At 47.1% G+C, this 21576-nt stretch overlaps 1 protein-coding gene and 1 long non-coding RNA gene across 11 annotated transcripts in view, besides 8 other annotated features; one reads left to right on the top strand and one right to left on the bottom strand.

Moving 5' to 3' along the window:
• Positions 1 to 8948, top strand: part of ZC3HC1 (zinc finger C3HC-type containing 1) — a 33166-nt gene extending 24218 nt beyond the window's left edge. For 4 of the 10 annotated variants that reach the window (XM_005250403.4, XM_011516288.4, XM_011516290.3 and 1 more), the window contains 5 exons: positions 922 to 1076; positions 2728 to 2971; positions 3511 to 3723; positions 4709 to 4915; positions 8502 to 8948. In XM_005250403.4, coding sequence (XP_005250460.1) covers positions 922 to 1076; positions 2728 to 2971; positions 3511 to 3723; positions 4709 to 4915; positions 8502 to 8570 — 888 coding nt within the window. In that variant the 3' untranslated portion in view covers positions 8571 to 8948. The remainder of the gene's footprint in view (positions 1 to 921; positions 1077 to 2727; positions 2972 to 3510; positions 3724 to 4708; positions 4916 to 8501) is intronic. The other 6 variants (XM_047420454.1, NM_001363701.1, XM_047420453.1 and 3 more) reach the window with 3 other exon arrangements.
• The window catches only part of UBE2H-DT (UBE2H divergent transcript), a 73246-nt gene continuing 52591 nt past the window's right edge, over positions 922 to 21576 (bottom strand). The window contains exons 3-4 of the long non-coding RNA XR_007060520.1: positions 18133 to 18358; positions 922 to 985 (exon numbers count right to left, since the gene is read on the bottom strand). This is a non-coding gene — a long non-coding RNA (UBE2H divergent transcript). The remainder of the gene's footprint in view (positions 986 to 18132; positions 18359 to 21576) is intronic.
• Positions 14697 to 14856: an enhancer, noted in NCBI's record as "active region_26640". NCBI's record gives its function as "activates an Ori minimal core promoter by ATAC-STARR-seq in GM12878 lymphoblastoid cells {active_cell/tissue: GM12878}" and the evidence as "EXISTENCE:reporter gene assay evidence [ECO:0000049][PMID:35858748]".
• Positions 16798 to 17997: an enhancer, noted in NCBI's record as "MED14-independent group 3 enhancer chr7:129649077-129650276 (GRCh37/hg19 assembly coordinates)". NCBI's record gives its function as "activates an origin of replication core promoter dependent on BRD2, BRD4, P300/CBP and CDK7 cofactors, and independent of MED14, by STARR-seq in HCT116 cells {active_cell/tissue: HCT116}" and the evidence as "EXISTENCE:reporter gene assay evidence [ECO:0000049][PMID:35650434]".
• Positions 16798 to 18293: a biological region, named in NCBI's record as "MED14-independent group 3 enhancer GRCh37_chr7:129649077-129650276".
• Positions 17794 to 18293: an enhancer, noted in NCBI's record as "H3K4me1 hESC enhancer chr7:129648781-129649280 (GRCh37/hg19 assembly coordinates)". NCBI's record gives its function as "activates a minimal SCP1, AML or CMV promoter by ChIP-STARR-seq in naive H9 embryonic stem cells {active_cell/tissue: H9 hESC(naive)}" and the evidence as "EXISTENCE:reporter gene assay evidence [ECO:0000049][PMID:30033119]".
• Positions 18381 to 18450: an enhancer, noted in NCBI's record as "active region_26639". NCBI's record gives its function as "activates an Ori minimal core promoter by ATAC-STARR-seq in GM12878 lymphoblastoid cells {active_cell/tissue: GM12878}" and the evidence as "EXISTENCE:reporter gene assay evidence [ECO:0000049][PMID:35858748]".
• Positions 18551 to 18630: an enhancer, noted in NCBI's record as "active region_26638". NCBI's record gives its function as "activates an Ori minimal core promoter by ATAC-STARR-seq in GM12878 lymphoblastoid cells {active_cell/tissue: GM12878}" and the evidence as "EXISTENCE:reporter gene assay evidence [ECO:0000049][PMID:35858748]".
• Positions 19735 to 20235: an enhancer, noted in NCBI's record as "H3K4me1 hESC enhancer chr7:129646839-129647339 (GRCh37/hg19 assembly coordinates)". NCBI's record gives its function as "activates a minimal SCP1, AML or CMV promoter by ChIP-STARR-seq in primed H9 embryonic stem cells {active_cell/tissue: H9 hESC(primed)}" and the evidence as "EXISTENCE:reporter gene assay evidence [ECO:0000049][PMID:30033119]".
• Positions 20236 to 20736: an enhancer, noted in NCBI's record as "H3K4me1 hESC enhancer chr7:129646338-129646838 (GRCh37/hg19 assembly coordinates)". NCBI's record gives its function as "activates a minimal SCP1, AML or CMV promoter by ChIP-STARR-seq in primed H9 embryonic stem cells {active_cell/tissue: H9 hESC(primed)}" and the evidence as "EXISTENCE:reporter gene assay evidence [ECO:0000049][PMID:30033119]".

The following is a 21576-nucleotide window of genomic DNA, read 5'->3' as shown; positions in this document are numbered from 1 at the left end:
TAGCCAAGGCAATTTTTTTTTTCCACCTGGTCATAGTTCCTTATTTTTCTTAGAACAAAAATAAAGTCTAACGAGCTTTGTTGTTCTGTCAAAAAGTAAATTTAGAGCCTGGGGCACAGTGATGTATGCCTGTAGTCCCAGCTACTCAGGAGGCTGAGGTGGGAGGATTGCTTGAGCTCAGGAGTTCAAGACCAGCATGGCCAACATAGTGAGACCCCATCTCTAAAATTTTTTTTTCTTTAATTTTTTTTTTTTTTTTTTTTTGATACGGAGTCTTGCTCATTCGCCCAGGCTGGAGTGCAGTGGTGCAATCTCAGCTCACTGCAAGCTCCGCCTCCCAGGTTCACGCTATTCTCCTGCCTCAGCCTCCAGGGTAGCTGGGACTACAGGTGCCCGCCACCACGCCCGGCCAATTTTTTTGTATTTTTAGTAGAGACGGGGTTTCACCATGTTAGCCAGGATGGTCTCGATCTCCTGACCTTGTGATCCACCTGCCTCGGCCTCCCAAAGTGCTGGGATTACAGGCGTGAGCCACCACGCCTGGCCTCTTTAATGTTTAAGTAAATTTAGTGTCAGGCTAAGACATAAGCAGTAATTTGTCTTCACTATTTGGGTTTGAAGTTTGCAGGTTTCAGGGAAAATCTGCAGCTGGTAAATTGAACAATTTAGTACTAACAAGAGTTTTGGCAGTTCCAGGGAGACTCCATCTTTCTCAGTCAGCAGATTCAGGGCAATTCAGAAAGCTTCTGTGTGATACTATAGCCCTGTCCCTGGAAGTATTTTGTTCTCTGTGAAGAGAAGTATCTTCATGTTTGTAATTTCCTTCCTGATTTTCGGCTTGTACCATCTAGGTATGTTATAATGTGTAATTTTTCTTTTTATGGTGGTTGAAACGAAGTTTTTTACTTGGCTCCCTTGTAGTGCTTGACAGAAGACAAGATCAGTCTTCTCCTACACTTGCTTGAAGATGAACTTGATCACCGAACTGATGAGAGAAAAACTACAATCAAATTAGGCTCAGACATCCAAGTCCACGTCACTGCCTGTATTCTCTCTGTGTGTGGCTGGGCGTGTAGGTGAGTCAGCAGATTTTGCCTGGAGACATGAACCATGACAACAGCATTACACCCATATATATCAGTCACTAATCGTATTTAGAAATCACATGGTGTTTCCCGTGAGAAAAAGAGACAAAGAAAAACTGGGTGGGGGATGGTGCGAGGAGAATGGATAATAAGAATTAGTAACAAAACCAGAATTGGAATTCAGGAATTCTTGGTGTTCACAACTGAACTTTGTTTCTTGTACTGTTGCTTCTTAACTGGGAATTTGTGTTCTCTTTTTTTTTTTTTTTTTTTTTTTTGAGACGGAGTCTCATTCTGTTGCCCAGGCTGGAGGGTAGTGGCGTGCGCGATCTCAGCTCACTGCAAGCTCCGCCTCCCGGGTTCACGCCATTCTCCTGTCTCAGCCTCCCGAGTAGCTGGGACTATAGGTGCCTGCCACACGCCCAGCTAATTTTTTGTATTTTTGGTAGAGACGGGGTTTCACCGTGTTAGTCAGGATGGTCTTGATCTCCTGACCTCGTGTTCTGCCTGCCTCGGCCTCCCAAAGTGCTGGGATTACAGGCGTGAGCCACCACACCAGGCTGAATTTGTGTTCTATAAACAGTGAACCTCCTTTCTAAAAATGGAAAGAAAATAAGCTCTTTTCTATTTTTAAGAAGGAAAAATAGAAAGGAAGTTCTTTTCTATTTTTAGAAAGGAAGAAAAATCCGCTTAATTGATAAAAACTACCATAGGAAACACCAGCTGGAGTCTTCTAGGCCCCCATGTTGCTATTTCCATTCCAGCTGCTCAATTTGGCATAGACTCCCACTATCCTTAATCTACCAAAGAGAGCATATTTAAAATACATCAAGATTGGTTCTGACAGTAAATAAATCTTGATGTATTTTAAATATGCTCTCTTTGGTAGATTAAGGAATGTTTTTTGTTTAAAGGGAAAAGACTTTAAGAGGGACAAGAGAGGGTGGGTACGGTGGCTCACACTTATTTAATCCCAGCACTTTGGGAGGCCAAGGCGGGTGGATCACCTGAGGTCAGGAATTCGAGACCAGCCTGGCCAACATGGTGAAACCCCATCTCTACCAAAAGTACAAAAATTAGCCGGGCATGGTGGCGGGTGCCTGTAATCCCAGCTACTCAGGAGGCTGAGGCAGGGGAATCACTTGAACCTGGGAGGCGGAGGTTGCAGTGAGCTGAGATCGCACCATTGCACTCCAGCCCGGGCAACAAGAGCAAAACTCTGACTCAAAAAAAAAAAAAAAAAAAAAAAAAAAAGAGGGACAGGAGAAACTTTTTGTGTTGTTGTTGTTGTTGGTCAGGCTGGTCTCGAACTCCTGACCTCAGGTGATCCACCCACCTTGGCCTCCCAAAGTGCTGGGATTACAGGCATGAGCCACTGCACCCGGCCGAGAAACTTTTAAAACATGCCTGCAAAACAGTCTTACCATAGAGAGCACACTAAGAACCCGAGGTCTTTCTATGGGAAATATGTGAGAGATGATGAAGTATGAAGCTGGGTCCTGAGACTGGAGCACAGAGGCTCTGATAGGACATGGTGACTGTTCCAGAAATTGGATGAGATAAGGCATACTCACAAGACATTGCACTTAGTCATTTGGAAATGTTACACTTTGAGAAAACTCTCTTTTTCATTCCTATCTAGTTCCTCTTTGGAATCCATGCAGCTCTCCCTGATAACATGTTCGCAATGTATGAGGAAGGTGGGGCTCTGGGGCTTCCAGCAGATTGAATCGTCCATGACTGACCTGGATGCATCCTTTGGCCTGACCAGCTCCCCAATCCCAGGCCTTGAGGGGCGACCAGAGCGCTTACCTCTGGTGCCTGAATCTCCTCGGAGGATGATGACCCGGAGCCAGGATGCCACTTTCTCCCCAGGCTCAGAGCAGGTATTCACTTAGCTTATTTGGGGTGGAATTTTAAACAACATTCTTGGCAAAAGTGTTGTTGGTAGAAAGTTGGAAATTAATTTAGGTGGATAGGCTTCTCTTCCCACTACATTGGTTACGATACCACATAGTGTTTCTGTTCACTAATGGGGAAGCTAAATTCAGCCAGACCCGGTGGCTCACGCCTATGATCCCAGCACTTTGGGAGACTGAGGCAGGCAGATCACTTGAGGTTAGGAGTTTGAGACCAGCCTGGCCAACATGGTGAAACCCCGTCTCTACCAAAAATGCAAAAATTAGCCAGGTGTGGTGGCAGGCACCTGTAATCCCAGCTACTTGGGAGGCTGAAGCAGGAGAATCACTTGAACTCGGGAGGCAGAGGTTGCCATGAGCCAAGATCGCCTCACTGCTCTCCAGCCTTGGCAACAAAGCGAGACTCTGTCTCAAAAAAAAAAAGAAAAAAGATTAAAGAAAGAAGTATTTCTGACCATAATCATTAATATCATTCGTGTACTTCCATTATCTCCCCTTTCCTTCAGGCTGAAAAGAGCCCTGGTCCCATTGTCTCTCGAACTCGGAGCTGGGACTCTTCCAGTCCTGTTGACCGTCCTGAGCCAGAGGCTGCTAGCCCCACCACCAGAACTCGCCCAGTGACCCGAAGCATGGGAACAGGAGACACCCCTGGCCTGGAGGTACCATCTAGCCCTCTGCGGAAAGCCAAGCGAGCTCGCCTCTGCTCCTCCAGCAGTTCGGTGAGTCCACCTCGCATGTAGCAGTGGCTGAGCATAAACAGCATATTGGGCCCTCCCTAGGCAGCATGGAGAAGCAGGCAGGAGCCCTTCCGTGGTCCAATGCAAAAAGTAGACCATGTGAATAAATTTAAAGTTGGATGACCAAAGGGAAAAAATGTCAGTCATGTTTTTTGCTCCTTTTTGTTCCTTTGGAGTGGATTCTGGAGAAATAATAGATATTTCAGGCAAATGGAACAACGGTGTGATACAGGGACAAACCTGATCTGGCAGCGGTCCCCAACCTTTTTGGCACCAGGGACCGTTTTCATGGAAGACCATTTTTCCACGGACCACGGTTGGGAGGATGGTTTCGGGATGATACGAGCACATTACATGTATTGTGTACTTTATTTCTATTATTATTATATTGTAATATATAATGAAATAATTGTACAACTCACCATAATATAGAGTCAGTGGGAACCTGCAGCTTGTTTTCCTGCAACTAGATGATCTCATCTGGGGGTGACGGGAAACAGTGACAGATCATGAGGTGTCAGACTCTCATAAGGAGCCCGAAGTCTAGATCCCTCTCATGTGCAGTTCACAGTAGGGTTCCTGCTCCTATAAGAATCTAATGCCACTGCTGATCTGACAGGAGGCAGAGCTCAGGTGGTAATGCAAACAATGGGGAGCAGCTGTAAATTCAGATGAAGCTTTGCTTGCCCGCCTGCTGTTCACCTCCTACTGTGCGACCTGGTACCCATCCATGGCCTGGGGGTTGGGTATCCCTTATCCCTTGTGATAAGGTATAGTTTGTTTAACACAAAAGGAGTGAAAAAATAAAGAAAATGAGAGGAAAATGTGTAGGCAAAGTTTGAAGGAGAGCATAAACACTCGAAGTATGGGTAGTTGTGAGATTCTGGACTTGATAACTAACAGCAGTGCCTCCCTGAACTTACATAGCATCTACCTATGAATGCTATTTCTTTTTCTCCTTCCTCAGGACACATCTTCCCGAAGCTTCTTTGATCCCACCTCTCAGCATAGAGACTGGTGCCCTTGGGTGAATATCACACTTGGCAAAGAAAGCAGGGAGAATGGTGGAACTGAACCAGATGCCAGCGCCCCAGCAGAGCCAGGCTGGAAAGCAGTGCTGACCATCCTCTTGGCGCACAAACAGTCTAGCCAGCCAGCTGAAACGGACTCCATGGTGAGATACGCCACTGCCTTGTGTGTGGGCAGCACTTGCTGTTTATGGGAGGTGGAGCAGAGGCTGGGCCTATAATTAGCACCCCGCCTGCCTTCAGCTTTCATACGTCAAGTTATTTGGGTTTTTTTGTTTGTTTGTTTGTTTTTTGAGATGGAGTCTCGTTCTTGTTGCCTAGGCTGGAGTCCAATGGCACGATCTCAGCTCACTGCAACCTCCGCCTCCTGGGTCAAGCGATTCTCCTGCCTTAGCTTCCCAAGTAGCTAGGATTACAGGCGCCCACCACCACACCCGGCTAATTTTGTATTTTTAATAGACAGGGTTTCACCATGTTGGCCAGGCTGGTCTCGAACTCCTGACCTCAGGTGATCCCCCCGCCTCGGCCTCCCAAAGTGCTGGGATTACAGGCGTGAGCCACCGTGCCCGGCTTATACGTCAAGTTAGACTCATTCTGCTTTCGTCCTAGGGATTAGGCATAGAACCGGTTCGTCTTTCTGTAGTTTAGCATATGGCATTCCGTCAAGTTCTGATAAATTCTTTTGTTCTCCTAAATAAAGTGACTCCAAGTAGAAAAGGAGTACGGAAACAGAAATAGATGAACAGGCAGCTGCTCCGGCCTCATGTTGCAGACAGCTGCTTTTTCTTTCATTTGCTGTCACTTGCACTTGGAGCCTGGCCAGTTAACTTAGCTGTTTGGAGCACTGGGCTCTGACACCAAGATGATGGCCTCATTCCGCACGCTGGGCACATTACTTTACTCTGTTCCACAGCCCAGACTGTGACTCTGCTAGCCATTGCAGCCATAACTGCTGTGGGTTACAAATGTGGGTGACAACTGAGAAGAAAAGTCAAGTGTTTGCTCTGTGTAAAGATTGGAAGTGATAGGCTGGGTAATATGGAACCATGAAAACTGGGTTCTCTCCTTCGCTGGCTCACTCCCAAATTTTCCTTGTAGCTGGTAACAATTTCTGATCGTAGTCTATAACTTTCAAGGACAAAGTAAAATAATACTTGTCAGCAGATATTTATGAGCAGCACTCCTAGATTCATGGTTTTCTAGGGTTACAGGATTCCACTGGAGGGAACTATAGTAATGCTAAAAGTCCAAAATTGCATGGCTGGGTGTGGTGGCTCACGCCTGTAATCCTAGCACTTTGGGAGGCCAAGGCGAATGGATCACCTGAGGTCAAGAGTTTGAGACAACCTAGCCAACATGGTGAAACCTCGTCTCTACTCAAAATACAAAAAAAAAAAAAATTTGCCATGTGTGGTGGCAGGCGCCTGTAATCCCAGCTATTGGGGAGGCTGAGGCTGGAGAATCACTTGAACCCAGGAGGCGGAGGTTGCAGTGAGCCGAGGTTGCGCTCCAGCCTGGGCTTCAGAGAGAGACGCTGTCTCAAAAAAAAATAAAATAAAAATAAATGTATATTAGTACCCTTAGTAAATATGCAGGTGAAGGTTTTCCAAGTTTTCACAGAAAAAAAAATCCGCATTTCTCTGCCTAGATCTTCAGGAACTAGTACATTGGCAGTTTTCAGTAAGACTCCTCTCTGTCACTGCCATACGAAAAAGAAAGCCTATGGGTTTTGTTTTTGTTTTGTAGTGGGAAAAGTTGGCCTCATAATTGGCCCTGGATTCCAGGACTTTTTTTTTCGGTAGTGTGTCTTAACCTTCTGACAGCTGCTGTGACGAAGCTAGAAAGCTTAATGAGACTGTGTGGTAAAGGATCCTGATGTTCGAAAAAAAAAAGTATATACCGAGGCCAGGCACAGTGGCTCATGCCTGTGATCCCAGCACTTTGGGACGCTGACGCAGGGGAATCACCTGAGGTCAGGAGTTCGAGACCAGCGTGGCCAACATGGCAAAACCCCATCTCTACTGAAAATACAAAAATTAGCCAGGACTGTTGGTGTGCACCTGTAATCCCAGTACTCCAGAGGCTGAGGCAGGAGAATTGGGAGGTGGAGGTTGCAGTGAGCCGAGATCGCACTACTACACTCCAGCGTGGGCAACAGAGTGAGACTCCCTTTCAAAAAAAAAAAAAAAAGAAAAAAGTGTATACTATTTTTTCAACTCAGGTTTCTTTCAACTTTGTCACTCTATTAACTAAATTTCCCTCAGTCATTAGTAAGAGTTCAAACTTTTTCCTCCTGGAACTTATTGAAACATCCTCAAAGAGGATAGATTTTTAAAAAACTGTGAAAGTGGGCCGGGCGCAGTGGCTCACGCCTGTAATCCCAGCACTTTGGGAGGCCGAGGCAGGCAGATCATGAGGTCAGGAGATCAAGACCATCCTGGCCAACATGGTGAAACTCCATCTCTACTAAAAATACAAAAATTAGCTGGGCGTGGTGGCATATGCCTGTAATCCCAGCTACTCAGGAGGCTGAGGCAGGAGAATCGCTTGAACCAGGGAGTCAAGAGGTTGCAGTGAGCTGAAATGGCACCACAGCACTCCAGCCTGGCGACAGAGCGAGACCTGTCTCAAAAAAAAAAAAAAAAAAAAAAAAAACCTGTGAAAGCGTCATATGAGAAACTGGAGGTAACTGTGGATCATCTTGCTAGACATTCTTTGTACTCTCACTGAGACCCTTTCTGCGTGGAATACTTGCTCTTCATTGTGACTCTCAAAGGCAGACAGAACCAAGTGTTCTGATTCACCAAGAGCTTTTGTCTCCTAATGAATTACTTTGTCTCCCTTTACCACCATTTCTCAGAATCTCAGAGTACTTCATTGGCATGATCAGATGGCACTGCGATTCTTCCTATTATTAGCACTGCTGGCTAAAACATAAAAGCGGTGAAGACCAAGGCCAGAGCTTAAACTCATAGGGGTCATTCAACTCTGTTTTTATTAGTTGTCCTTGGTTTATACTGTTAACCTCAGCTAGGCATCACATTAAGTATAAGTACTTATTCACAATAAATAATGAACTAGGGCCAATTCAGCATCATGAATGAAAAACCAGTGCAGGCCGGGCGTGGTGGCTCACGCCTGTAATCCCAGCACTTTGGGAGGCCGAGGCAGGCGGATCACGAGGTCAGGAGATCAAGACCATCCTGGCTAACACGGTGAGACCCCCATCTCTACTAAAAATACAAAAAATTAGCCAGGAGTGGTGGCGGGTGCCTGTAGTCCCAGCTACTGGGTGAGGCAGGAGAATGGCGTGAACCCGGGAGGCAGAGCTTGCAGTGAGCCGAGATTGCGCCACTGCACTCCAGCCTGGGTGACAGAGTGAGACTCCGTCTCAAAAAAAAAAAAAAAAAGAAAAACCAGTGCAAAACATGTGCTGTACTAACGGCAAGTCAGAAGTGTCATCCTCAAGTACAAAGATGAGGACAGATACAGATGCCTGAAGGGAGGATATGAGCCGTGTCTTAGAGGCTCAGAGTGTGTTAACAGGAGTCTGACAGTAGAACGTTGGCCCCTCGATCTTTAGTCTGACTTTAGGTATACATTATGTATAGCATACTACAAAATGAATTTTTACTTAGTCCTAGACATATCCAGATCATTGTGGGACAAATGATCTATCCTTTGTCTCTATAAAAGAACGTAATCACTAATAATAAGCTTTTCTACCTACAGAGTCTCTCTGAGAAATCAAGGAAAGTATTCCGAATATTTCGGCAGTGGGAATCTCTGTGCTCATGCTGAAGATACTCCAGCGCCTTCCTGGAGATAGCTGGAATGAGAGTGACTTTTTGAAAAATTAAGGCTGAGTTCCTTTCGGTCAGCTGACACTAAGTTTTTCCTGTTCTGGGTTAATCATAAGGAGCCCCCTGCCATAGCAAAGGCAGTGAGTGTCAACTATCTGCATCTGGCTGAGAGAGACCCGTTTCCTTTCAGGGATGTGGACAGGGTAAGGGCAGCAAGCATGGTTCTGTTAAAGGAGTGTGGGATTAACAGACTAGAAGGAAGACTAAGGACCTGACCACCCATTTCAGCATCTTCAATGTGGAGCAGTGTTCTGAGGACTCTTCTATCCTAGGACTATGACAGTGTGTATTAATAAAATATTTGCTAAGATTCTCATTGTTGGAGAACTGTTTTCCCCCTTGCCCTGTGGGCCGGAGAAACTTCAGTGGAACATTCAACTTTTGATTTTCAGATTGGCTGCAAAGCCTAAAATTTGTGATTCCAGTCAAGGAGGTATAATCTTTCCTAAACCAAAAGCAAGATGATTTTCATTATGCCACCAGGAAATTTCCTGGTGTGTTATAGTGAATGGTCAACTGATAATTTTCTCCTTGCTTTGATAATAACAGAATAAAACAATGTAATGGGGAGGAAGGCACTTCAGAAGAGACCCCTCTCCATGTGCCATTGAATGCATGAGTCCCCCAGTTGGGCTTCCCCAAGACTCGTTGCTTTTGGGGGATCATCAGTTTTTGTGGTAGAGAAGGTGGACCCTGAACTGCCCACTGATAAAGTAACCATGACCTAGCAAAGGCTAGAAAGTGATTATTCTCTGATATGCCATGTTTTTCGTCACTGAGATTGTTTTGTTTTATACTTTTGTACTGAAGTATTTTAAAGAAAATAACACATAATATTTTACTCATAGTTTAATCTCTAAAAAATAGAACCTAGGCCAGGTGCGGTAGCTCACACCTGTAATCCCAGCACTTTGGGAGGCCAAGGTGGGCAGATCACTTGAGGTCAAGAGTTCAAGACCAACCTGGCCAACATGGTGAAACCCTATCTCTACTAAAAATACAAAAATTAGCCAGGCGTGGTGACGGGTGCCTGGTGTCCCAGCTACTGGAGAGGCTGAGACAGGAGAATCGTTTGAACCCAGGAGGTGGAAGCTACAGCGAGCCGAGATCGTCTGCTGCACTCCAGCCTGGGTGACAGAGCAAGACTCCGTCTCATTATATATATATATATATATTTATGTATATTTTTATATATATATAACTTTTCTCCAACATATTACACCCAACAAAAATTAATAATCTGACCGGGCGTGGTGGCTCACGCCTGTAATCCCAGCACTTTGGGAGGCCAAGGTGGGCGGATCACCTGAGGTCAGGAGTTCAAGATCAGCCTGGCCAACATGGTGAAACCCTGTCTCTATTAAAAATACAAAAATCAGCCGTGTGTGGCGGCGTGCACCTGTAATCCCAGCTGCTCTGGAGGCAGAGGCAGGAGAATAGCTGGAACCCCGGGGGAGGAGGCTACAGTGAGATTGCCGCCATTACACTCCAGCCTTGGCGTCAGAGCAAGAGTCCAGGTCAAAAAATAAAAATAAAATGGCCAGGCACAGTGGCTCACGCCTGTAATCCCAGCACTTTGGGAGGCCGAGGCTGGCGGATCACGAGGTGAGGAGATCGAGACCATCCTGGCTAACACGGTGAAACACCATCTCTATTAAAAATATAAAAAACTAGCTGGGCGTGGTGGCGGGCGCCTGTAGTTCCAGCTACTGAGCGCAGGAGAATGGCGCGAACCCGGGAGGCGGAGCTTACAGTGAGCCGAGATCGACCACTGCACTCCAGCCTGGGCAACAGAGCGAGACTCCATCTCAAAAATAATAATAATAATAAATTAAAAAATAAAATAAAATCATAAATGGAAGCAGAGGCCAGGCATGATGCCTCATGCCTACAATCCCAACACTTTGGGAGGCTGAGGCAGGAGGATCACTCAAGTCTAGGAGTTCAAGACCAGCCTGGGCAACAAGGAGAAATCCTGTCTTAAACGAAAAATAGAAAAAAATTAGTGAGGTATGGTGGCTTTTGCCTGTAGTCTCAGCTACTCAGGAGGCTGAGCTGGGAGGATCTCTTGAGCCCAGAAAGGCAGACTGCAGTGAGCTAAGATCACCGTTGCACTCACTCCAGCCTGGGCAACAGAGTGAGACCCTGTCTCAAAAATAAATATGTAAATAAAAATATAAATTGAAGCAGATTGAGATAGACTTTGTGTAATTCAAGAAACATTCTCTTTCATGTGTGAGGCACTGTGCTAGCCCCTGTAGATGAATGACTACCTACTTTCTACCTCTAAGAAGTATATAGGCCAGGCCAGAAGACACACTGGTATATAAATGTTGCGGGACAAACTGCTAAATGCTCTAGTCTAGGAGAGGTATAAAAAAGGAAGAAGTGAATGGTCATGTGTCGTTGGGAAGAACTTTGAGGAAGGTGTAGATTTGAGCTGGTCCTTGGAGATGAGTGGGAGATGCAGGCTCCATGAGAACAGGGACTTTGTCCTGGTTTTAATCTCAACATTCAAAACAGTGCCTGACACGTGATAGACCCTCGGTTAAAAATATGCACATCCGAGACTGAGGGAGCATTGTAAGCAAATGAGCAGCATGTAGGATATGTTCCAGGAAGAGCAGGTATTCTGCTGTGGCTAGAACTCTGTGTTGAGTAGAAAAGAAAGGAAAAGAAAATGGAAGTTGGGCCAGATTAGAGTCTTGTATGTTATACTAAGGAGTTTGGACTTGATTCTCTAGGGAAAGAGAAACTCTTAAAGAATATTTTGGGCTGGGCATGGTGGCTCATGCCTGTAATCCCAGCACTTTGGGAGGCCGAGGCGGGCAGATCAGTTGAGGTCAGGAGTTTGAGACCAGTCTGGCCAACATGGTGAAAGCCCGTCTCTACTAAAAATACAAAAGTTAGCTGGGTGTGGTGGCACATGACTATAATCCCAGCTACTCGGGAGGCTGAGGCAGGAGAATCACTTGAACCTGGGAGATGAAGGTTGTAGTGAGCTGAGATCACGCCACTGCACTCTAGCTTGGGTGACAGAGCAAGACTCTGTCTCAGAAAAAAAAAAAAAAAAAAAAAAAAGACATTTGTGCTTAGGAAGATAATTCCAGTGTCTCTGAATAGCCTGGCTTAGGGAAGACAAGAAGGATTTAAGGGAAGTGTGAGGGCAGTGGCCATGGCAGTTGCAATGGGGCATAATTTGATAGAAATCTCAGCAATGACTTCATGATTGGTTTTGGGCATGAGGAAGAGGGGAAGAATTAAAGATGACCTTGAGGTTGAGGCCTAACCAAGACAGAGAACCCCTCAGGTGTTAATGGATGATAATAGTTTTTTACTTTTACTCACTTTTTATTGAGTTCAGTTACATATGAAAATATCTGTCTAGAAATGGAGTTCAGGAGAGGAGGATTCAATGTGTTGAAGAAATCAAAGATCATTGTTTCAAATGCTTAAAATCAGCTAGGAGTGGTGGCACACACCTGTAGTTCCAGCTATTTGGGAGGATTGCTTGAGCCCAGGAGTCCAAGACTAGCCTAGGTGACACAAAGGACCCTGTCTTTAAAAAAAAAAAAAGCTTAGGATCTATAGAGCCATGTAGAGTAAAGCTCTCAACCTTGTTGTCTTCTCACAAGAGATCTTAATGCCATCCTCTTTAACAGCATGAGTTCAAGTCTACATGTCACCGTTTCTGGAGAATACGCTACTGAGCTGGCGTGAGTATGCTTTCAAATATACTCATTCCAGCTTAGTAGCATAATGGGGTGTTCTCAGATGGGACTGAGCACATGAGCTTCCTTTCCCAAAGCATCTGTTCTCTTCCACACCCTGGGACATCCTTTTAACCCCAGGCCTTTATTCATTCGTCTTGTGGTTTGCTCATGTAAACATTTTTAGTTTGGCCTTTCTAGGAACCCACTCTTCCTAATTTGATTCTTTATTTGAATTTTTTTTTTTTTTTTTTTTTTTTTTTGAGACAGAGTGTTGTTCTGTTGCCCAGGCTGGAGTGCAGTGGTGTGAACACGGCTCACTACAACCTCTGCCTCCCGGGTTCAAGTGATTCTCCTGCCTCAGCCTCCTGAGTAGCAGGGATTACAGGCATGCACCACCATGCCTGGCTAATTGTTGTATTTTTAGTAGAGACAGGGTTTCGCCATGTTGGCCAGGGTGGTCTCAAACTCCCGACCTCAAGTGATCTGCCTGTCTCAGCCTCCCAAAGTGCTGGGATTACAGGCATGAGTCACTGCGCCCAGCCTGAATTTTTTTTTTCCTTTTGTTAGATCCCTTTAAAGAAGATAATTGCCTGAAATTTCATTTTTGCTACTTGACTATCCACAAAGGTAGCATTAAAAGTCGTCATTCTAAGGAATTTTTCCACCTGTGTTAGCCACATTAGGTAGCTTATGAGGATCCTATGTGATTTGTGTTGTCTCCTGCTGGTAAATAGAACTTCAGCGCCTTCCTCCTGACCTCCCAGGCCAGCACCTTCTTTTGCAGTACTTGGTCTCAGTGATCAGGACAGGTGGTGGCATTTTGAAGAGCCCTTGCCATTCCAGATTATTCATACCCCATTATTATAGTCCCCCCAAACTTCAGATTCTCCTTTTACTAATTTTCTCCACTAAATCCTCTAGGATTCTGTGTTTTAACAAAGGTTGCATTCCCCATCCAAGTAGATTTTGTTTTTACCGAGAAGACTGAAGCTCAAAGACATCTAATAACTAGCTGTCATATAGCTAGAATGAGGCAGAGCCACACTGAAATCCATCTTTCCCAGCTTCTGTTCTTTCCATTACGATACAGCTGGGAATATCTTCCAAGCACTGTGAGTCTATGGTTTTCTTTCCCAAGCTCAAAGTTGAGATCTCCCTCTCACAGTAGAAAGGAGTATCTTGCAGCCACTCACGGGATACTAGTGCCCAGAAGAGAGTCTTTCTCCTGGCTCCTTTTTGATTTCAGCCAACTTTAATAGACTTAACAGGTGGAGCATTCTCTTTGGGGCTTTCCTCACTTATACTCTTCTTCTGGTTGTGGGTGCCTGAGAGCCACTTCTGAATCCCTTCCATCCTATTCCATCTTAGCAATAAAAACAGCTGCACGCACAGCTTGACCATCGACAAAAGTACAAACACTTCCTTCTCCTCAGTTTTCCTTTCTATGTTTAGTTTTATTTCTATTCTAGGTTTTCTTTGGCTTTATACAGCTGCCATCCTGGTCAGTTGGCCCATGCCCTCAGAAGTGAATGCTGCATTTAAACCCTTTAATTAGAGACCATTCATTCCATCTATATCCCATACTCTCTTTTATCTCATTGCTCCTTGGCTACAGCTGTGGTGGTTATTGTTTTTCTTGCCACAGTGCCTCTCTAGTTGAACTGACTGTTGTATAGCTGAAGCCAATTAGGAAGAGAGGGAAACAGGAACATACAAAGGCCTCTGTGTAGGACAGGTAGGTCATGGAGATTTGGTCACTTATCCAGAGATTATCCAACAAGTCAGATCATTATAATAACATACTCTTCAGCTTTCTGTACTCACTTCTTTCTATTAGCCACCTATTGATATCCCAGTAAGCAGATATGGAGGAAAATTGTTTCCTATAGTGTGTCAGTAACAGCCCTCAAAGGGATGGTAGTAGGAACAGAAAATGTGAAGCCTAGAAGGGACTCAAGATTCACCTCCAAGGCCTTCATAGTTCTCACGGGGAAGCCAGGATCACAGAGACAAGAAAATCCTTTTTAGCCTCTGTGTCCATTTCTTAGCCAGTCTTGTCCAACCTAACTAGAACCAATGGAGCAGAAGGAAAGGCACACAAGAATAACTTGACGGCACAACGGGTTTTGAGCCAATCAGAAGTGATACCAAGGCCAGGTGCAGTGCCTCACACCTATAGTCCCAGCACTTTGGGAGGCTGAGGTGTGCGGATCACTTGAGGTCAGGAGTTCAAGACCAGCCTGGCCAACGTGGTGAAACCTCATCTCTACTAAAAATACAAAAATTAGCCGAGCGTGGTGATGGGTGCCTGGAGTCCCAGCTATTTGGGAAGCTGAGGCAGGAGAATCACTTGAACCCGGGAGGCGGAGGTTCCAGTGAGCTGAGATCGCGCCACTGCACTCCAGCCTGGGTGACAGAGGGAGACTGCATCTCAAAAAAAAAGTGATAGCGAAACCAAGACTGCAGCTGGAGTCTACCTCCTACTGAAATGTGGGGAATCAGTCTTGAGCAGGAGAACCTCTGAAACTTGATTTTACTACTGCTGCAAATAGCTATCACTTGTAAGTACAGATTGTTTGCCAAGCACTGGTCTAAGCATTTTATCTTATTTAAGCCTCATAGCAGTCCTATGAGGAAGGTATAATTACTGTTCCATTTTTACAAATGAGGAAACAAAAGCATAAGTTAATTACTTTGTTCAGGGTCACACAGCCCAGTAAGTGAGGGCCGGGATTCAAACTCAGCCCATCAGCCTCCAAGGCAGACCCCACTGCCTGCCTTTAACCAAGGACATAGTTATACATGCATGACGATGTTTAATTCCATTGTTACTTGGGTTGTTTGTTTTTGTTTTTGTTTTGAGACAATCTTGCTCTGTTGCCCAGGCTGGAGTGCAATACTGCAATCTCAGCTCACTGCAACCTCTGCCTCCTGGGTTCAAGTGATTCTGCCTCAGCCTCCGTAGTAGCTGGAACTACAGGTGCCCACCACCATGCTGGACTGATTTTTTTTCCTTTTTTTATTTTTGAGACAGGGAGGGTCTCTGTCGCCCAGGCTGGAGTGCAGTGGTGGGATCTCGGCTCACTGCAACCTCCACCTCCCAGGCTCAAGCAATTCTCCTCCCTCAGCCTCCTGAGTAGCTGGGATTACAGGCATATGCCACTACCGCCCAGCTAATTTTTGTGTTTTTAGTAGAGATGGGGTTTCACCATGTTGGCCAGGCTGGTCTTGAACTCCTGACTTCAAGGATCCACCCGCCTCAGCCTCCCAAAGTGCTGGGATTACAGGCGTGAGCCACCGTGCCCAGCCTGAGACCTTTCTTCTGTAGATCCAGAGAAACCAGATGTCAAGGGAAATGCAATTTATCAGCTATTAAGTGATAAGAAAATCTCCCCTCCTAAGGATCGTGCCATCTCCCAAGTCTCCAAGAGCTGGGGCAAGTCACTGTAGCCAACTTGAGAATCAAGTTCAGGTATGAGGCCAGGCGTGATGGCTTATGCCTGTAATCCCAGCACTTTGGGAGGCCAAGGCAGGCAGATTGTTTGAGCCCAGGAGTTCAAGACCAGAGTAGACAACATAGGGAAACCCCGTCTCTACCAAAAAAAAAAAAAAAAAAAAAAGCCAGGTGTGGTGGCGTGCACCTGTAGTCCCAGCTCCTCAGGAGGCTGAGGTGCGAGGATCCCTTAAGCCTGGGAAGTCAAGGCTGCCGTGAGCTGTGATCACACCACTGCCCTCCAGCCTGGGAGATAGCGCAAGACCCTGTCTCAGAAAAAAAAAAAAAAAAAAAAAAAAAAAAAGTTCAAGAATGTGACCTCGGTGCCAGGCAAGAATGCTAGCAGTACCCACTACGGCCACTAGATGTCCCCCATGTTCCACTTCTGGCTTACCTAGCTGGACTTGCCAACACAAGACATCATCATTCTTACTTTGTCCTTATTTTGTTACAGGGTCTTTCCCCTAACCCCACTTAAGCTCTACCAAGTGCGGTGATGGAAACAGAAAGAAACTGAAAGCATTGAAACAGTCAGCAGAGAGACAGAAATGAGAATGGGTATTTATTGAGGAGACAGAGAAGGAAAAAAAAACCTCTAAATTTAAGGTCAGAGTTGGGGCCTTGCATCCAGGAATAGTGGCTCGAGTAGCAATGATAAGAACCCGATTGAATGGGAAGTCAACCGAAAGGGAAATCCAGGGGACTGTGAGCCATTGGCAGCCACCCTGGGACACATGCAGCCCTCCCCAGGTGTCATCCTTTGGCTGATCTCAGCACCCGCACTCAGGGCTGGGCCACCCCAGGGCCGACCTGCAAAGTTAGGCAAGCCACTAATGAAGCATGATGACACACTCACAGGGGCATGAGTGGTGTCTCATCACAGCCAGGGCACAGCCCAGACCCACCAGATGACCCTTTTCTTGTGAGGATTCCCAAGTCTATGACTAATGCTAATTAACCCTGACTCACAGTAGCACTGAGCACACAGAGGTCATTATCTCCACTGGAAGGAGTGGGGAAACTGAGGTGTGGAGTGGGGAAGCAGCTTTGCTCCATCAGTGTCACCAGGTCAGGAGTTGATCCTCCCTGCCCTTCTCAAAAGCCCGTGAGGCTGTTCTTGGTAATCAGCAGTAGACACTTCCGGTGGGGCTAAGGGATAGGGCCTTTCCCCACTGCTGTTTCCACGTGAGTCAGAGCCACAGAACTGGAAGCAGAGTTGTAGACTACTTGGTCTAATCCCTGAGGAGTCTGAAGGCCAGAGTGGGGAGTGAAGGCCAAGATCACACAGCAGGTTGTGGCTGAGCCACGCCTAGAATCCTGAGGCTTCTTGCTGAGTCCCCTTCTTGCACTACAGTCATCATGACAGAGCAGAAGAGAGGCAGTACCCTGTGAGAGTTAGGAGCACCAGCTCACTAGCCAGAAGTGGTGGCACGTGCCTATAGTCCCATTATACTAGGGAGGCTGAAGTGGGAGGATCGCTTGAGCCCAGGAGTTCGAGACTGCAGTGAGCTATAATTGCACCACTGAACTCCAGTCTGGGTGGCAGAGCAAGACACCTTGTTTATAAAAAAGAAAAATAAAGGGGGACAAAAAAAAAAACACCAGCTCTAGGTCAGGTAGCTTGGCAGGTGGATCTAGCAGGCTCTAGGTTCCATAGCCTGGGTACAGATCCTGGATTCACTGGTCACCAGCTGTGTGTTTCTGAACCTATGACTCAGCCTCAGCTTCCTCATCTGTAAATTAGGGATAATACTAGTAGCTGTGTCACAGGAATGTTTTGAGAATTCATTGGCATATGTGAAGTGCTTAGAGCAGTGCCTGGCACATGAGAAGTGCTCAGGAAATAGTAGCTGTTTGTTTAAGCTGGCTGTTTAAGCCCAGTTGCCTCTCTGGCCAAGTGTCTCCAGCTTGCCTGGTCTTTTGGGACTCCTGAAGGAAGGGAGCACCAAAACTATAGGTGTTAGGATCATGAGAAAGACACATACCAGTATCTCCTCACCAGACTGTCTGTGGTCTCAGTAGGCCTCTTTCAGCCCAGCGGCCTCCATGCCACCATCAGACAGCACAGGTGCTGGTGGATCAGCGCCAAGCCCAGCTTTAGAAGCATTGGGAAGCACCTTGGCAACAAGACATAAACCAAGATAACCACATTCCTACCAGTCTCCATGGACCCTGGCTCCGGGCCTGGCAAGGCCACCCTCAGGAAATGGCGGTACAATGACGACAGGAAAGCTTATGACAGGCATCACCCTGCTGGGCTGAGAACACTGGCTTGTTTGTCCAGCACAGCTTACCTGAGTCACCCATTGTGGAGTCTGCAGCCACCTGGGCCTGGAGCTAGGCCAGCAGGCTGCTTGGAGTCTGGAACACCTTCTGCGGGCTGAATCTGGCTAGGTCCGGCACTTGCTGCCTGTCCCCTCCTCAGAAAGCAGGTCAAGGCAGTTTGGCTCCGTAGATCTGGCTCCAAACAGTGAAGAGCCTGGTGGGGCCTGACAACAGTTCAGAGACGCAGAGCCTCCTCTGTGGGAAACAGAATGTGAACCGAGGCCTTAGAGTGTTTGGAAAATCAGCTCCACGAATCAGAGATGGACCGGGCAGCAGCTTCTCCCTCTCCTCCATCCCATGCTACACCCGTAGCCACTCTCTGTGCCCCACTGGTCCTCAGGGGGCCCTGGGCTCTCTTGCCAAGTCTCAGCACTGCCCAGGCCCATGCAGCCGGTCAACAGTGACTGGGCTCAACTCCCACTAACTCAACCTGGGGGTTTTCCAAAGTGAAATGAGGAACAAAATAGGTGCTATGTTTCACAGTACCAAGTTTTAAAATACTAATAAAATTAGAAAATACTTTTTCAGGCCGGGAGCAGTGGCTCACGTCTGTAATCCTAGCACTCTGGGAGGCCAGGGTGGGTGGGCCACATGAGGTCAAGAGTTTGAGACCAGCCTGGCCAACATAGTGAAACCCTGTTTCTACTAAAAATACAAAAATTAGCTGGGCATGGTGGCGTGTGCCTGTAATCCCAGCTACTTGGGAGGCTGAGGCAGAAGAATCGCTTGAACCTGGGAGGCAGAGGTTGTAGTGAGCCGAGATTGTGCCACTGCACTCCAACCCGGGCGACAAGGCGAGACTCTGTCTCAAAAAAAAAAAAAAAAAAAAAGAAAATACTTTTTTAAAAGGTGTAAAAAATGAGAATGAAAGTCCCCTGCCCCTTCTGGCCCTTGAGGGGCTTTCTACTGGAGGGACCATTTGTGGCATAGTTGGCAAGGGCACCCAAGAAGGCCAGAAGGGGACGCCCATGGGTGGGGACAGGAGGCACAGGAAGCAGTGTTTTAAGGTAGTGATCCCACAGGCCTAAGAAGGTGGCTCTGTTCCTCCAAGGAGTACTAAAGAGCCATCATAAAACAGTACTGACCGGGCGTGGTGGCTCACACCTGTAATCCTGGGAGGCCAAGGCAAGTAGATCACTTGAGGTCAGGAGTTCGAGACCAGCCTGGCCAACAGAGTGAAACCCCATCTCTACTAAAAATACAAAAATTAGCCAGGCATGGTGGCATGCACCTGTAATCCCAGCTGCTTAGGAGGCTGAGGCAGGAGAATCGCCTGAACCTGGGAGGCGGAGATTGCAGTGAGGCGAAATCGTACCACTGCACTCCAGCCTAAGCAAGAGTGAGATTCTGTCTCAAAAAAAAAAAAAAAGAAGACTGTCCTAGGGGACTTGGGATATGCAAGCTATGTGTGCTCAGTGCTCAGCACGAGGTGGTGACCTGGCGTTGGGGAGGCCCGAGCTGGAATAGGGAGCCTGGCTATCTGGGTGCCCCACCCTGGTAACTGACCTTGGGCAAGTCAGTTTCCATTTCAGTCCCTTTATCTTTGTTTTTGTTTTTTTTTTTTTGTAGAGACAAGGTCTCACCATGTTGCCCAGGCTGGTCTCAAACTCCTGTGCTCAACGATCCGCCCACCTCACCCTCCCAAAGTGCTGGGATTACAGGCATGAGCCACCGCACCTGGCGTTCAGTCTCTTTATCTGTCCAGTGGGGTATTAACAAGTATCTAATGTTCAGAACAACATTAAGACGTTCAGAACATGTCAAAGAACCTTTGGAAGAAGTTTGAAACTCTCTCTCACACCCCCCACATGAGGTATAACTTGGTTTGGGCATGGGGGGGTGCTCCTCCAGGTGGGAAAGGTGGCTGGCACCTGAGTCAAGAACAGGGTAAGAGCAGAAGACAGAGGCAGCATGGAGAGCCAAGGACCACAGAAGAATGCCCTGAGAATCAGGCTGCCAGGCACCTAGGCTGTGGGTTGGAAGCAAGAGGGCCATCGGGTGGTGACAGGCAGAGGAAGTCCTTTCTCTCAGCTGCTGCCATCTTGCCTTCTGCAGTCCTGTGGCCCGCCTGGCCTGCCACCCGAGGAGCAGGAGGTTTAGGCTCCGGCTGTGCCCCATCTCTGAGCTGGAAGTGAGCAGCAGAGCCTGCAGACTGTGCAGGACAGGTCACCGCATCTGAGGCAACGGAGACAAGGCTTTGAGAAAGAAGCCTGATGCTTGCCCCCTTGACTGCCGGAGAGGGAATTTAGTGCCACCCAGGGTCCCCAGATCTTCACCTGTGTCCAAAAGCCAATCTGTCATGGACAGTCACCATGGTCACCATACATCCGGTTCTCTGTCTCTGGCTTTGGCTCCTACTAGCTGACCTCACCTACCTCAAAGTCACTTGAGAGAGTCAAAGCTGCTATGTGTCTGGGTGCCCCAAGAAACTGAGTTCCTTGTCTATGTGGGGATGATAACCCCCTCCCCAATTCAGTGCCCGACCTCATCAGTGCGCCCCAAAGCTGCAGTGCACCGTCCAAGTCTCCAAACCAGTTGTGAACAGTCAGGTTAGCTTCCGATCCTTACCCCCAAACCCCGGGGACTGAATGGAGGCCAAGGATCTACAGGGGAGGGGACACCTTCCTGGTCAGCCATCCTTGGTGAAACCCCATCTCTACTAAAAATACAAAAAAAATTTAGCTGGGCATGGTGGCATGCGCCTGTAGTCCCAGCTACTCCGGAGGCTGAGGCAGGAGAATCACTTGAACTCAGGAGGTGGAGGTTGCAGTGAGCCGAGATCACACCACTGCACTCCAGCCTGGCAACAGAGCGAGACTCCATATCAAAAAACAAAACAAAACAAAACAAAACAGACACTCATTGGAACTTCTCAACCGCTCCTTTCCCCTCCACCACATGACCTTCCTGTGATGGCAGCCCTGGCACTCAGCAGGTGCCTGGTACAGAGAACATGCTCAGGAAATATTTGTTACCTAAATGAACAAATACATGTTTATCATCAATGTAGGAGTTTGGAGGCGGAGCTAACTTTGCCTTGCAACCTTGGCCTGGGGACGAGGGCTTCCATTCTGGTCCCTTGAAGAACCTACTTTGAAAGGGGTCCGGAAGACATGACTGGCCTCCTCTTGATAAGAAGAAGGCAGACCAGCATAGGCAGTGGAAGGGGAAAGCAGCTGGAGATTGGAAAGAGGAAATTTAGAGCTATGCTTAGGCTAAGAAACAAAGAGCAGGACTGTGTGCCCCAGCAAGCATGTGGCCTGACGTTGATAGCATTAGGAAAATTTTGGGCCAGGTGCGGTGGCTCACACCGGTAATCCCAATACTTTGGGAGGCCAAGGCAGGAGGATCACTTGAGTGTAGTTCAAGACCAACCTGAGCAACATAGTGAGACCCCATCTCCATAAAAAATT

Source organism: Homo sapiens, chromosome 7, assembly GCF_000001405.40.
Source record: "Homo sapiens chromosome 7, GRCh38.p14 Primary Assembly".
NCBI lineage: Eukaryota > Metazoa > Chordata > Mammalia > Primates > Hominidae > Homo > Homo sapiens.
This window is presented reverse-complemented; position numbering and strand designations above follow the sequence as displayed.